At 38.3% G+C, this 14,751-nt stretch overlaps 1 protein-coding gene across 4 annotated transcripts in view; it reads left to right on the top strand.

Annotated features, from left to right (window-relative positions):
- MROH9 (maestro heat like repeat family member 9) overlaps window positions 1–14,751 on the top strand; it is a 129,232-nt gene that overhangs the window by 67,146 nt on the left and 47,335 nt on the right. For 3 of the 4 annotated variants that reach the window (NM_001163629.2, XM_011510005.3, XM_011510007.3), the window contains 2 exons: window positions 11,438–11,575; window positions 13,484–13,657. In NM_001163629.2, coding sequence (NP_001157101.1) covers window positions 11,438–11,575; window positions 13,484–13,657 — 312 coding nt within the window. The remainder of the gene's footprint in view (window positions 1–11,437; window positions 11,576–13,483; window positions 13,658–14,751) is intronic. The other variant, XM_011510006.3, reaches the window with a different exon arrangement.

Consider the following 14,751-nt stretch of genomic DNA (forward strand, 5'->3'; position numbering starts at 1 on the left):
TAAGATTCTTTCCTTCATCTTAACTTTGGGTAACCCGATGACAATGTGCTTAGGTGAAGATCTTTTTGCAATGAATTTCCCAGCTCTTCTTTGAGCTTCTTCTATCTGCATGTCGAGATCTCTAGCAAGGCTGGGGAAGTTTTCCTCGATTATTCCCCTGAATGTATTTTCTGAGCTTTTAGAATTGTCTTCTTCCTCAGGAATACCAATTATTCTTAGGTTTAGTTGTTTAACATAATCCCAGACTTCTTGGTGGCTTTGTTCATATTTTCTTACTCTTTTTGTCTTTGTTGGATTGGGTTAATTTGAAGACCTTGTCTTTGAGCTCTGAATGTCTTTCTTCTACTTGTTCATTCTATTGCTGAGACTTTCCAGAGCATTTTGCATTTGTCTCCAAAATTTCCTGAACTTTTTATTGTTTTTTCTTTAAGCTATCTATTTCCTTGAATATTTTTCTCTTCACTTCTTGTATCATTTTTTGGATTTCCTTGCATTGGGCTTTGCCTTTCTCTTGTCCCTCCCTGATTAGCTTAATAACTAAACTCCTGAATTCTTTTTCAGGAAAATCAGGGATTTCTTCTTGGTTTGGAATCATTGCTGGTGAACTAGTACGATTTTTGAGGGATGTCAATGAACCTTGTTTTGTCATATTACCAGGTTTGGTTTTCTGGTTCCTTCTCATTTGGGTAGGCTCTGTCAGAGGGAAGGTCTAGGGATGAAGGCTGTTGTTCAAATTTTTTTGTCCCACAGGGTGTTCCCTTGATGTAGTACTCTTCCTCTTTTCCTGTGGATGTGGCTTCCTGTGATTCAAACTGCAGTGATTGTTGTCTCTTTTCTGGGTCTAGCCACCCTGTGAGTCTACCAGCCTCTGGGCTGGTACTGGGGGTTGTCTGCACAGAGTCCTGTGATGTGAACCATTTTTGGGTCTCTCAGAAGTGGATAACAGTGCCTATTCCAGTGGAGGTGGTGGAGGGTGCAATGGACTCTGTGAGGAGCCTTAGCTTTGGTGTTTTAATGCTCTATTTTTGTGCTGGTTGGCCTCCTGGCAGGAGATGGTGCTTTCCAGAAATCATCAGCTGTAGTAGTGTGGAGAGGGACTGGTGGTGGGTAGGACCCTAGAACTCCCAAGATTATATGCCATTTGTCTTCTGCTATCAGGGTGGGTAGGGAAGGATCATCAGGTGGGGATGGGGCTAGGTGTGACTGAGCTCAGACTCCCCTTGGGTGGGTCTTGCCATGGCTGCTGTAGGGGATGGGGGTGAGAGTCCCAAGTCACTGGAGTTGTGTACCTAGGAGGATTATGGCTGCCTCTGCTGAGTCATGCAGGTGGTCAGGGAAGTTGGGGAAAGTGGCAGTCACGAGCTTCACCCAGCTTCCACACAAACCAAAGGGGCAGTCTCACTCCCACCATGCCCCCTGCAACAGCCCTGAGTCTGTTTCCAAGCAGAGGGCAAGGCAGGCTTGAAAACTTGCCCAAGGCTTTTCTCCTCCCAGCTGCAAAAGAAAAAGGCTTTAGTTCTTCCCCTGCCTGTGAAGTCTAAGTCTGCAAGCCACATTCATGCCCTCCCCCGAGTTCTGGCCAGGAGGCTTCTTGCCCCATTCAAATTGTTATAAAGTTCAGCTCAAGAATTCCTTCTCCCTGCATAGTTTTACTCCCTGCCCCTCTGGCCACCCTCCTGATGGATCCCTGTGGTGCCAAGCAGGAATGGGCTGCTTGGGGACCCAGTGAACTCCCAGGGCCTTTCTGCTGCTTCCCCTACCCCTGTATTTCACTTGGCTCAGCTCTCTGATTTGACTGAGCTCCAGGTAAAGTCATAAACTTCTCTGGCAAACAGACCTTCAGCTTCTCCAGTCAGGTTGTGTGTTTAGGAAAGGAGGGTCTCCCTTTCTCACTTCCGCGGTTGGGGCACTCACAGTATTTGGGGGTATCTTCCGGGTCCTGCAGGAGCTTCCACTTCCTTCAGAGGGTCTGTGGGTCCTCTCAGGATTGCTGGTTTGTCCTTGCAATCAATCTGGAGCTAAAATTCACAATGCAGCCTCTGCATGCTGTTCTGTCTGGAGCTGCAATCTAGTCCTGCTTCCCATCTGCCATGATCCCTCCTTGTCACCAGGTGGGTTTATTTCTGAGCACTCTGTTCTGTTCCATGGGTCAATATGTCTGTTTTCAGGCCAGGACCATACTGTTTTGACTACTATAGCTTTGTAATATATTTTGAAATCAGGAAGTGTAATATCCCAACTTTATTGTTTTTCAAGATTATTTTGACTATTTGGGGTGTTTATTGGTCTCACACAAACCTTATTTTTTTTTTTCTATTTCTGTAAAACAAGCCATTGGAATTTTGATGAAGATTACATTGAATGTGTAAATCACTTCGGGTGGTATAGACATTTTTATTTTTTTGAGACAGGTCTTGCTGTGTTTCCCAGGCTGGAGTGCAGTCACATGATCTTGACTTACTGCAACCTGTGTCCTCCATGCTCAAGCAATTCTTCCACCTTAGCCTCCAGAGTAGCTGGGACTATAGGTGCATGCCACCATGCTTGGGTAATTTTTGTATTTTTAGTAGAGATGGGTTTTGGGTTTCACAATGTTACCCAGGTTGATCTCAAACTCCTGAGCTCAAGTGATCCACCCAACTTGGCTTCCTAAAGTGCTGGGATTACAGGCATGAGCCATCACGCCTGGCCAGTATAGATATTTTAACAATTTTAATTCTTTCAATATATGAACACTGGATATCTTTCCATGTATGTGTGTCTTCAATTTCCTTCATCAGCATTTTATAGTTTTCAGTGTACAGGTCTGTAACGTTGTTGGTTAAATATATTCCTAAATATTTTAATTTTTATAGCTATTGTAAATAGAATTGTTTTCTTAATCTTTTTCATATAGTTTATTGTTAGTGCATAGAAATGCAACTGACTTTTGTATGTTTATTTTGTATTCTGCAGCTTTACTGAATTTATTACGCCCAACAGGCATTTTATGGAGTCATTATGGTTTTTTTTACATACAAGATCATGGCATCTGCAAAGACAGAACATTTTACTTCTTCCTTTCTGATTTGAATGACTTGTGTTTCTTGTATGAATGTCTGTCCAGGACTTAAAGTACTAGGACTTGCAGCACTTTACACTTTTTCTCCTTACCTGCTCCCATTTTATTCTATTGATGTCACCCTTTACATATTTTTATATTGTGTGTTCATTAACAAATTATTGAAGCTATATTTTAATACATTTGTCTTTTAACTTTTATATGAGAGTTAAATGTGATTTACACACCATCCCATATTAAAATATTCTAATTTTGACTATAGATTTATCTTTCAAAGTGAGTTTTACACATTCACATATTTTAATGTTGTTACTCAGTGTCCTTTTATTTCAAGTTGAAGAACTCCCTTTAGCATTTCTTGTAAGTTAGGTCTCATGGTTGTAAACTCCCTCAGCTTTTGTTTGTTTGGGGATGTCTTTATCTCTACTTAATTCTCAAGGACAGCTTTGTCAGGTATAGTATTCTTGGTTGTCAGGTTTTTTTTCTTTCAGCACTTTGAATATATCCCACTCCTTCAGTTGTGAGGTTTCTGTTGAGATATCTGCTGATAGCCTTATGCTAGTTTCTTTGTATGTGAGAAGTCTCTTTGTCTTTTCTGCTTTCAAGCTTATCTCTTTTTTTTACTTTTAATAATTAGATTATAATGTGTCTCAGATAATTCTTCTTTGAGTTGATCTTAGAGTCTTGAGCTTTATGAATCTAGATGTTCTCTCTCTATCTTTCTCTCTGCTCCTTCCTCCCTCCCCCACACCTCTTTCTGCCCTCTCTCTCCTCCCCCAACTTCTGGAACTCCTATAGGAGAGAGAACATTTAAAGAAATTCTGGCTCAAAACTGTCTGAATCTTGTGAGGGTTATAGACATCTAGATTCATATATTTAATAGTGTCCCTTACATCCCTGTCTTTACTCTCTTTCATTCTTTTATATCTTTTTCTTTTTTTTTTTTTTGGCTAATTTCAAATGACTTGTCTTCAAGTTTGCTAATTCTTTCTTGTGTGTGATCAAGTCTGCTCTCAAAAGTCTCAATTGAATTATTCAGCCTGTTATTATAGTCTTCAGCTCCAGGGTTTCTGTTTTGTTATTTTTTTTTTAATTAAGTGTCTCTTTCTGGTTCATGCATTGCCTTTCTAATTTTATTTAGTTGTCCATCAGTGTTTTCTTGTATCTCATTGAGCTTCTTTAAGATGATTATTTTGACCTCTTTGTCAGGCAGTTTGTAGATCTCCATTTTTTGTGGTCAACTACTGGAGCTTTATAAGTCTTCTTTGGTAATGTCATATGTGCCTCATTCTTCATTATCTGTATAGTTTTGCATTGGTTTCTGTGTATTTGAAAATGCAAACACCTCTTCCCACTTTTACAGACTGGCTTTGGCAGGTAAACACCTTTTCCTTTTCACACCTGGGCTAATGCCTCCAGAATTGTAGGTTAGGTGGAGTTGGAGCTAGGGCACCTGGGTGCTTCTGGGACTTGTGGTTGGCTGGTCTGTTACCACAGACTCAAGAAGGTGTGTCTCTTCTCTGGTTCCTGGGTGAACTGGCCTAGCTCCAGGACCTTGGTCAGTAGTGTTGTCTCTGGAATGAGGGTCCACTACAGAATCCAGAAACAACAGACCTATTACCAAGTACACAGATGGGTGTAGCTCCTTTTGGGTCTGTGAGATGGCTCCTACTGTGTAAGTAGGTGGGTCCCAGGGCAGGACTGGCTCCAGACAATGACTAGCAAGGATAGAACCCAGTCACAAGGCTGCTTCAGTGTCTACAGCCAAGACCATGGTCTGCAGGATAGGCATGTTCCTAAGCTGGTCACTAGACAGGAAGAACTGCTCCCAAACTGAAGCTAAAAGGGGCTGGAGTCAAGGTACAGGACCTTTCCGGGATCTGCTGTGGGACCAAAGTTAGCAGTCCAGCCTGCAAAATCACATATAGGCTTCTTTTGGCAGCTTCCTTGGCAGGCAGGAAGGCTCTCAGGCCACTGCTGAGAAGAGATAGAGGTGAGTTACAGGGCTGTTTCAGGGCACAAAGACATAACCAAAGTCAGCAGGCCTGTTACCCTGGTTTCCTTGGTGGATGATTTTGGTGGCAGAACCAACACCAAATGTAGCTGTAGCCAAGTCTGCAGAGAGACCGGGTCATTTCTGGGTTTAGAACCAGGACCACAGTCAGCAAGCCTACCATCCAAGCATTGATCTGCACTCTCAAAATAGCTCTCCTTAATTTTAGAATCCACCATGTTTTTGCAACCTTCTACATAAATCCCAAAAAGTCCCCAGCAAGGTACTTTTGTTTGGGGATGACTGCAAAATTATTGCTTCTCTGGGGGATAATCATGGTGAATAGTATTCCATTCTTGTTTTATTATGGATTTTCATAGAAATGCTTCTATTTCACTATTAAGACAGTTAACTTTTATTGGAGATACACTGTTATTAGCCATTGTTCTATTCATAGTTGTATTTGAAATGTTGAATTTTATTGACTGTATTTTGACAGTGAACAACATAATTTTTTATGTAACTTATTAATAATATATAATGGTCACAGATAGCCTAACATTAAAACTATCATTGTAATATTCTACAAACTAGATATGATTGGAACTTGACTTATTAGAATTTTATTAAGAATTTTTATATCTTGTTCAGAGGTGATTTTGTTCTGCAGTTATTTATTATGTGTTGCCTCTCATATTTTTGTATGAGATTTACATTCAATTGTAACAATCAATTCAGTAATTTTAAATACTTTTCTGTACAATGGAATTACTTATGATTCTTGGAAATCATCTATTTCTTAAAATTTTGGAAGAAGGCTGTAGTTAAAATCATCTGCTGTGATCCACACAGATTTTAATACTATGTTGCCATAAAAATGAATGAGAAGCCACACACCTGTAGTCACAGCTACTCAGGATGCTGAGACAGAAGGATCACTTGAGGCCAGGAGTTTGAGGCTGTCGTGAGCTGTGATTGTGCTTGTGAATAATCAGTGCATTCCAGCTTGGGCAACATAGCAAGACCGTATCTCTTTTAAAAAAAGAATGAGAAAGATCTCTTTGTACTGATGCAGAGTAACTTCCAGGAGATGTTGTTAAGTGAAAATAAAACAAGCTGCAGAGCAGCACAGATGCTACCTTTTGCATAAGAGAGAAAAAGACATGTATTATGTACTATAGAAGTATATAAAATGTAGACTTATTCTTTGGGAAACATATACATATGCACACACTAAATACATGTTTTATGTATTATATATAATTCTATATAGTTTTATTATATATTATAAAATATAAGGATTTTAAAATATAAGGATTTTTAAATATATACTTATCTTTTGGAGAGAAAACAAAAAGATAAACTAGATATTAAAGAAACTGGTTACTTTAAAGGACATGGGAGTAATAGGGTAGAATGGATAGGGATGGAAATGAGACTCTCAAAGTACCCCTCTTGTGTAGTTTCGACGCATAAAGTTATTGTTGAAAGAATAAAATTAAATCAAGAAGAAGAAAAAAGCCAAATTTAAACTGATGCAAATGAATTTATTTGTATAGCAAATTAATAACCACACAGATAATATAATTACTCCATGCAGCTTATGAACATAGTGCTTTGACTTAGATATATTCTAAGAATGAAAATGTCTATAAAGAAATATTCACTTTTACTCAGAAGGTTTATTGGTATTGTATATTGATATTATCATTTTAAGACTAAGGTATGTATTATTTATCAGAAAGCAAATAAGTAAATATATTAATCCTATTAGATGCCAGGGTTTTCCAAGTAAAAGGAAGGCAATAAAAACATGAAGCTGCAAAAAGTTAATATAAACTCTTATGTTAGCTTTGAATTAAAAATATCAACATTGTAAGTATAAACTCACGATTTAAAGAATAACTATTTCCAAGTTCTGAGTAAAAGCCAAGAAGACATGATATTCTGACAGCTAGGAGTACTTTAGCATCCATTTCTAATGGTTTCTAAGTGCTATTACTTACCAAAAGGAACCATGTCTCCTTGATAAAATGGCTGGTTTCAGGGGCCAAGAAAAATAGATGAGTCAGGGACATCTAATTTTTCCACAACCCAAAGAAGGGCTAAAGGCCCATGGGGCCATGTCAAAAGGACACAAGAAGTAGTGGCTTCTACTAGCCAACTTTGAGTATCAAAATGAATAGTAACTAAATAATTGTAACATTATTTTTTTTCCTTTTTTAATTATTATACTTTAAGCTCTGGGGTACATGTGCAGAATGTGCAGTTTTGTTACATAGGTATACACATGACATGGTGGTTTGCTACACCCATCAACCCATCACCTACATTAGGTATTTCTCCTAATGTTATCCTTCCCCTAGCCCCCAACTCCCTGAAAGGCCCCAGTGTGTGATGTTCCCCTCCTTATGTCCATGTGTTCTCATTGTTCAACTCCCACTTATGAGAACATGTGGTGTTTGTTTTTCTGTTCTTGTGATAGTTTGCTGAAAATGATGGTTTCCAGCTTCATCCATGTCCCTGCAAAGGACATGAACTCATCCCTTTTTATGGTATTCCATGGTGTATATGTGCCACATTTTCTTTATCCAGTCTATTGTTGATGGACATTTGGGTTGGTTCCAAGCCTTTGCTATTGTGAATAGTGCTAGAATAAACATACATGTGCATGTGTCTTTAGAGTAGAATGACTTATAATCCTTTGGGTATATACCTAGTAATGGGATTGCTGGGTCAAATGGTAATTCTAGTTTCAGATCCTTGGGGAATCACCACAGTCTTCCACAATGGTTGAACTAATTTATACTCCCACCAACAGTGTAAAAGGGTTCCTATTTCTCTACATCCTCTCCAGAATCTGTTGTTTCCTGACTTTTTAATGATCGCCATTCTAACTGGTGTGAGATGTTATCTCACTGTGGTTTTGATTTGCATTTCTCTAATGACCAGTGATGATGAGCATTTTTTCATATGTCTGTTGGCTGCATAAATGTCTTCTTTTGAGAAGTTTCTGTTCATATTCTTTGCCCACTTTTTCATGGGGTTGTTTTTTTGTTTTGGTTTTTTTTGTAAATTTGTTCAAGTTCTTTGTAGATTCTGGATGTTAGCCCTTTGTCAGATGGGTAGATTGCAAAAAATTTCTCCCATTCTGTAGGTTGCCTGTTCACTCTGATGATAGTTTATTTTGCTGTGCAGAAGCTCTTTAGTTTAATTAGATCCCATTTGTCAATTGTGGCTTTTGTTACCATTGCTTTTGGTGTTTTAGACATGAAGTTTTGCCCATGCCTACATCCTGAATGGTGTTGCCTAGGTTCTCTTCTAGGACTTTTAGTAACATTGAATTTTTTTTACTTCATGAGTCCTTAGTGGTTCTCAAAATGAGAGAATGAGAAGAGAGACAGAGACAGGAATAGAGACAGACAGCGAGACAGATGCCATCCACTAAATGTAGAAAGAATGCTAGAAGTGGCAAATCACAATTTCTGCAAGCCCTAATGTGATAACTAAATCCAGAAAAATCATCAATAGATGTTAAAACAATTAAGTGAAAAGTTGTTAGAGAATGGAATATTCACATAGCACCAAATTACCACCCTACAGATTACTTACTGGAATCCCAAAGGGAAAATATGACTTTACATTTTTATGTGTGGTTATCACTCAAAAAGAATTACCTTTGATCCTGTTTGGAAATAATGCATTATTACCAGTCTCCCATTATTTTTCATCTATTTCAATGATCTAGTTTTCCTTGACTTACATTTGGAGATTTATATTTTTCCAGAAAATAATTTATTTCACTCAGAATTTCAAATGACTGCCATAATCACTGGGTCTCTACTAGATGGGCTATTAAAATCACCAAGAAATATTTTTTAAGTACATAAGCCAGGGTCTGCCATTGGAAAACCTACTAGGATGACGCCCAGACATGTGTAATGTATAAAAGCTGCCCGCAGAAGATCCTGCACTCATCCTTGCCTAAGAACTACTAACACAGATATTCTTTTTAAATTTTTGATCTAATCCACACTTTTTTTCTCACTGCTCATTTTACTTGTTCTTTTTTGTATTATATCAAAAATCTGTTTATCTTAATAGGATTTTTTTCCTGTGCAAAAGGCAATAGGCTTATTAATTCTATTGTTTTTTTTGTTTCCTAATACAATGATTTCTGCCTTTATTATTTTCTTACACCAACTTTCTTTAGCACTGTTTTATATTTTGTGATATTGTTTCTCTTAATTTCAGGATATAAATAATTTATGTTAACATTTCTTTTTAAGTAAAATATTTAAAGTCAAATTATGCATTTACTTCCAACTATAGTGTAAATATCTATGTTATATATAATTTTTATTGTTTTTTATTTTGTTGTCATCCTATTGAGTGTTTGAGTTCCTCTGTGGTTTAAGATTTTGATCCACAAATTAGGGGAAATTTCTCTTAAATTTGCAAGTACTTTACAGACTTTCTTGTTTTTTTATTTAAACTTTCTTTTTGGTTTCTTCTTTTATTATATCACAAATTTTTGAAGTGCTTTTTAATTGTTTTGCTTTAGAGAAGTTATTAATACCTTCTGACATGGTATCTAATTTTTGTGAAGCTTCTCTGAAAGCTTGAAAAGATGTGATCTGTCCTCCTCTCTCATTCAGTCTCTCTCACTCTCGCTCTCTTGCTCTGTCACTCCCTATCTTTCTGTGTACCTGATCTAAGGATATTTTAAATTCTTCCAAGGAAAACATGATTTTATAAAACTGTCATTTTTTTTTTTTTTTTTTTTTGAGATGGAGTCTTGCTCCGTCACCCAGGCTAGAGTGCAGTGGCTCGATCTCGGCTCACCGCAAGCTCCGCCTCCCGGGTTCACTCCATTCTCCTGCCTCAGCCTCCCAAGTAGCTGGGACTACAGGTGCCTGCCACCACGCCTGGCTAATTTTTTGTATTTTTTAGTAGAGACGGGGTTTCACCATGTTATCCAGGATGGTCTCGATCTTCTGACATCATGATCCGCCCGCCTTGGCCTCCCAAAGCGCTGGGATTACAGGCATGAGCCACCGCACCCGGCCAAAACTATCATTGTGTTTTTGAGAGATTTTAATCAGCATATTTGACTGTCAGTTATTAAATGTATGAAGGCTCATGATACTCATGTCTTCACTCTGGGTATTAGCTCTTAAAAACTAAACTTCCTCAAACTGGCCTGCAGGTTCTGTCCCACCTTCCATACTTGCCCTCAAGCCTCCCTGCTGTCCAGTCTTCTGTTCCCTCTCCCCTCCTCTCTCTCATCTTTCAGGTGCTCAAACACACCCTGCTTCATATTCCTCAGGGCCTTTGCACATGGTTCACCATCCTTGAAGGTCTCCTCTCTAAACACTTCTTCTAGCTAATGCCAACTCACAAACCTAAATCTAAATATCACTCTTCATTCTAAATTGAATCTACATTACACAATGTAAATTCAATAGTCCCATAGATCAGGGGTCCCCAGCTCCCTGGGCCACATACTGGTACCAGTCTATAGCCTGTTTGGAACAGGGCTGCACAGCGGGAAGTGAGCAGCATGCGAGCATTACCACCTGAGCTCTGCCTCCTGTCAGATCAGTGGCGGCATTAGATTTTCATAGTAGCACAAACCTTATTGTGAACTGTGCATGCAAGGGATCTAGGTTGTAGGCTCTTTATGAGAATCTAAACTAATGCCTGATGATCTGAGGTAGAAGAGTTTTACACCCTCCCTCCCCAGCCATTCTTGGAAAAAAAATGTCTTCCAAAAACTGGTCCCTGGTGCCAAAAAGTTTGGGGACTGCTGCTGTAGATGCAGATGTGTTGTGACATCTGGTAGCTTTCTTTCCTAGTACTGACTAAAATTAGAAACTCTGTCTCATTAGAATAGTACATAGTATAGTATCAGTCTCTCTAGCTTGCCTGGAAGCTCCACAGGGTTGTGGGTTGCTACCGTTTCGCTCACCATTGTATCTCTATTTACTAGTGCAGTGCCTGGCCTGTAGTGGGTATCACCTCTTAGCATATGTAGACATACACTGTGAAGAAACTCACAACCTGACTACAATCAGTATGATGGGGAAATTTAAATTGGGTCACTCAGTTTCCAACAATGGAGGAAAATGTAAAATACATACACACACACACACACACACACACACACACACACACACACAGACAGACAAAAACGAAACAAAGCATCTATTTTTCTATCCTGATTGTTGTCTCTCCCCACTGCTGTGAGCACTGAAATATATGTATTTGATGTTTTAGTGAGATTTGCATTCTAGTTTTACCTAGAATATCTTGATTTTTATGACAGAAATCGTGCAGTGGCCTCTACTTTGCTTATAAACTTATTAACTATTTTCTTTCAGCTTCTGAATAACTTCTTCAAGGACCCTTTACCAGAAGAATTTTTGGTCCTCTTCATAAACTGGATCAATGATTCCAATCCTGTAGTTAGCAGACTGATCCTTCATAGAATTGTCCACATGTCACCAATTATCAATAAGGTATGTGTATGTGATTTGTGTCTGCAAGCATCATCTAAATCATAATCTGAGATTTTGATGTCACTTAACATCTTCACTGACAAAGCGGTGATATTTTTCAGTCTCTATATAACTAAAACATATCAAAGCCTGCTGTTTTATTAACAAGGAAACTGAGTTGAATAGAAAGGATGTGTTAAGTCCACTTAGTGGCTTTATCGCCTTACTTTTTTTTTTTTTTTACAGAAAATCATTCATTGCACTCAGAATGTATTTATCCTCATTGCCCTAGACTTGTCTTACAGTCTAAACCATATATACATAATTTCCCCTCCAACATACACTCATGTGTACACACTAATTCCTATCTCAGAGCACTTGCTCAAGCTTTTTCTTCTACTCATAATGTTCCTACTTTACCTATACATATTTACATTTTTCTCCTTTTTCAATGATCAGCCCAAGTCAAACTGCACTGAAAATTCTTATCTCTCGCAGCCTCATCCCTCTCAGAGCCATATCAGTTATGAGCACTCATATTTTATACCAGTGTCAAAGCATAGTTCTTGAACCAGCAGTATCAGCATCACCTGGAGACTTGCTAGAAATGCAAATTGTGAGGCCCCACCCCCGTCCTATGGAATCAGAAATTCTGGGGTGGGCCCACCAATCTGTGTTTTAAAGGTCCTCCAGGTGACTGTTATTCAAGTTAAAGCTGAGAACAACAATCTTACACTGTTTCCCATTGACTCACATGAATACTTCTTACCTTCCAGGTCGACTGAATTTAAGCACGTTCCATTTTCTGTAATTCTACACTCCAAAGTATCTTGCAAAATGCTGACAGTGCAAATGTTCTATAAATCATTACTTTTATAATACATCCAATAATAAATCGTTGTTTATCTAATGAGCATAGTCTCTGAGAACTGAAGCCTATCAGTGGACACCCGTTGTGCATTTAGAATGACATAAGCCATGGTCTGTTTACTTTAAATAAATAATACAAGTTGATGGATTTACCAGTGGTGTACATTATCTTAGTAAGCAGCAAATTATTTATTGCTTTACCCAGAGCTCTTCCCAATGTTATCAAAAACTGAAAGGAAAATTCTGTCAAGACTTCCTAGGAGAGTGAAAGAAAAGTAGTGGAAAGTGATCTGGGTTGAGATTTCATATACTGTTGGTAAAGACACAAATGGCCTCTGGCATTGACATAGTCCTTAGCTCTATTTTTTTCTCCTTAAAGCTATTATTTTGGCAAAATAATATTCATTCATTTCCTTTAGTCTTTTTCTCCTTGCCTTTCTTTCTCTCTGGTGTCTCCTTTTCGTGTTTTTCCTTGCCTTCTATTCTGTTTGGTTCTGATCTGCATTGACTCCCATGACCTGCCTGAGTGTCTCAGTAGCTCTCATGTCCAAATGGGTCACTATCATCTAATTTAGAGGTCATTCTGCTAGTAGTGTGTTAGTAAATGTTTGACAGCCAGGTGTCTGAAAATAAGGCCAATTCCCTGGTGTAAAGATCCTTATGATGGCTAATTTCAAGCTTTCAAAGGGACATCACTAACCATGGAACTGGGAAAAGATGCACAATAGCCCATCATTATTTAATATTCCCGCCAATCAGACACAATGCCCATGAATAACCTCAAGAGCATAGATAATGGTAAAATGTAGCGAAAGAATTAGGGAGTGATAATTTTTTAGTATTATCAGTTTCTACTTAATGTTAAATTTATATAATTTAATTTTCAATAATTAATTTTCTTAGCAAAAAGTCAACATTTTTGAAAATTTGACAAGAGATTTTCGTGAGTCGGCTTCCGCACACCATGATGTGCCGCCCAGACTCAAGGTATCCATATAAATGTCAGCTCAAGTCTCCTGCTAGTTCCTAAATCCCACCATTTTTTCCTTTTATATGTAGACAGAAAATGTCAGCAGTATATTAATAGCCATCCTGGATGCCTTCCTTTCCAAAGACGATAATGTTGTACTTCAGGCCTTGCTCACCCTTAGAAGGCTTTTAAACGAACTGGACAAAGTGACCTACTCTTTGGGTACCAGAATTGGTTCCAGCTACTGTACTCTGATGGATCATGTGAGTTACACAGTTAGATATGTGAGATCATTAGGTTTTGTGGTTCACCTGAAACTCAAGTTGAGGCAGTGATGTTAGGTCACAGAATAAGCCAATAGGAGAAGAAGCCACCATTTCTTTTACAGAGATAAAAATATTAGGTAAGTACTGGTCTTTTTTTTTTTTAAGTACACTGTGAGAACCTGGGGAAGAAAAGAAGACTAATCAAGGAATAGCCTCTATCCTTGGATGAAACTGTAGCTTTGTGGCTATATACTGATTAACCCTATATCTGGACTGCCTGGGTTCAAATCCCTCTTCCACCTCTTATTGGCTATGAAACACTGAGTGAGTGATTTCTTCAGTCTTTTGGTGTATCACTTTTTCCCCATCTATAAAACAGCAATAGTGACATAAACAATATTAGGTTTATTATAAGAATTAGATTTGATATTTGCCATGCCCCAAATAAATGTTTGTTATTATCATATAAAACTTGAATTTAAAAGTATTTTATCAGAAAGTTGTTCTTTCTGAAAATTCTCATTTTACATGGTAAATATGTTTCAGAAAAGTTTAATGAAAACTTTGGTATGCCATGGGGAATCTATGTATTTTTAAAGAACTCCACAATAAATTGTTAGTAAACCAGAGAATTATTTCACAATAAATTATCTTGCCAAAACTTCTAAGTTTTTAATCACTTACAGTTCAATGAAGAAAAGCACAGTATTATTAAATTATGAAAAAAAGTAGTGGCAAAAATGAATTTTATAAACACATAAACACATTAGAATAGTAATAATAATAGTAGTGGCTTAAAGGGGCGGGGGCCAAGATGGTCAACTAGAAGCAGCAGCATCCGGAAGCTGCCATCACAAAGATGCAAATCCCAAACAGCATGCAAATCCTGCACTGGCAACTGAGGTATCCAGGTTCTGTCATCAGAACTGACTAGGCAGCGGGCATGACCCATGGAGAGGAAGGCAGAGCAGTGTGGTGTGGAGGCCTACCTGACAGCCACACGGGCCAGGGGAGCCCCCACCCCCAGCCAAGGGAGGCAGTGAGTGAGCATGCTACCCAGCCTGGGAAAACGTGTTTTTTCCACGAAAATC

Source organism: Homo sapiens, chromosome 1 (assembly GCF_000001405.40).
Source record: "Homo sapiens chromosome 1, GRCh38.p14 Primary Assembly".
In the NCBI taxonomy this organism is placed as follows: Eukaryota; Metazoa; Chordata; class Mammalia; order Primates; family Hominidae; genus Homo; species Homo sapiens.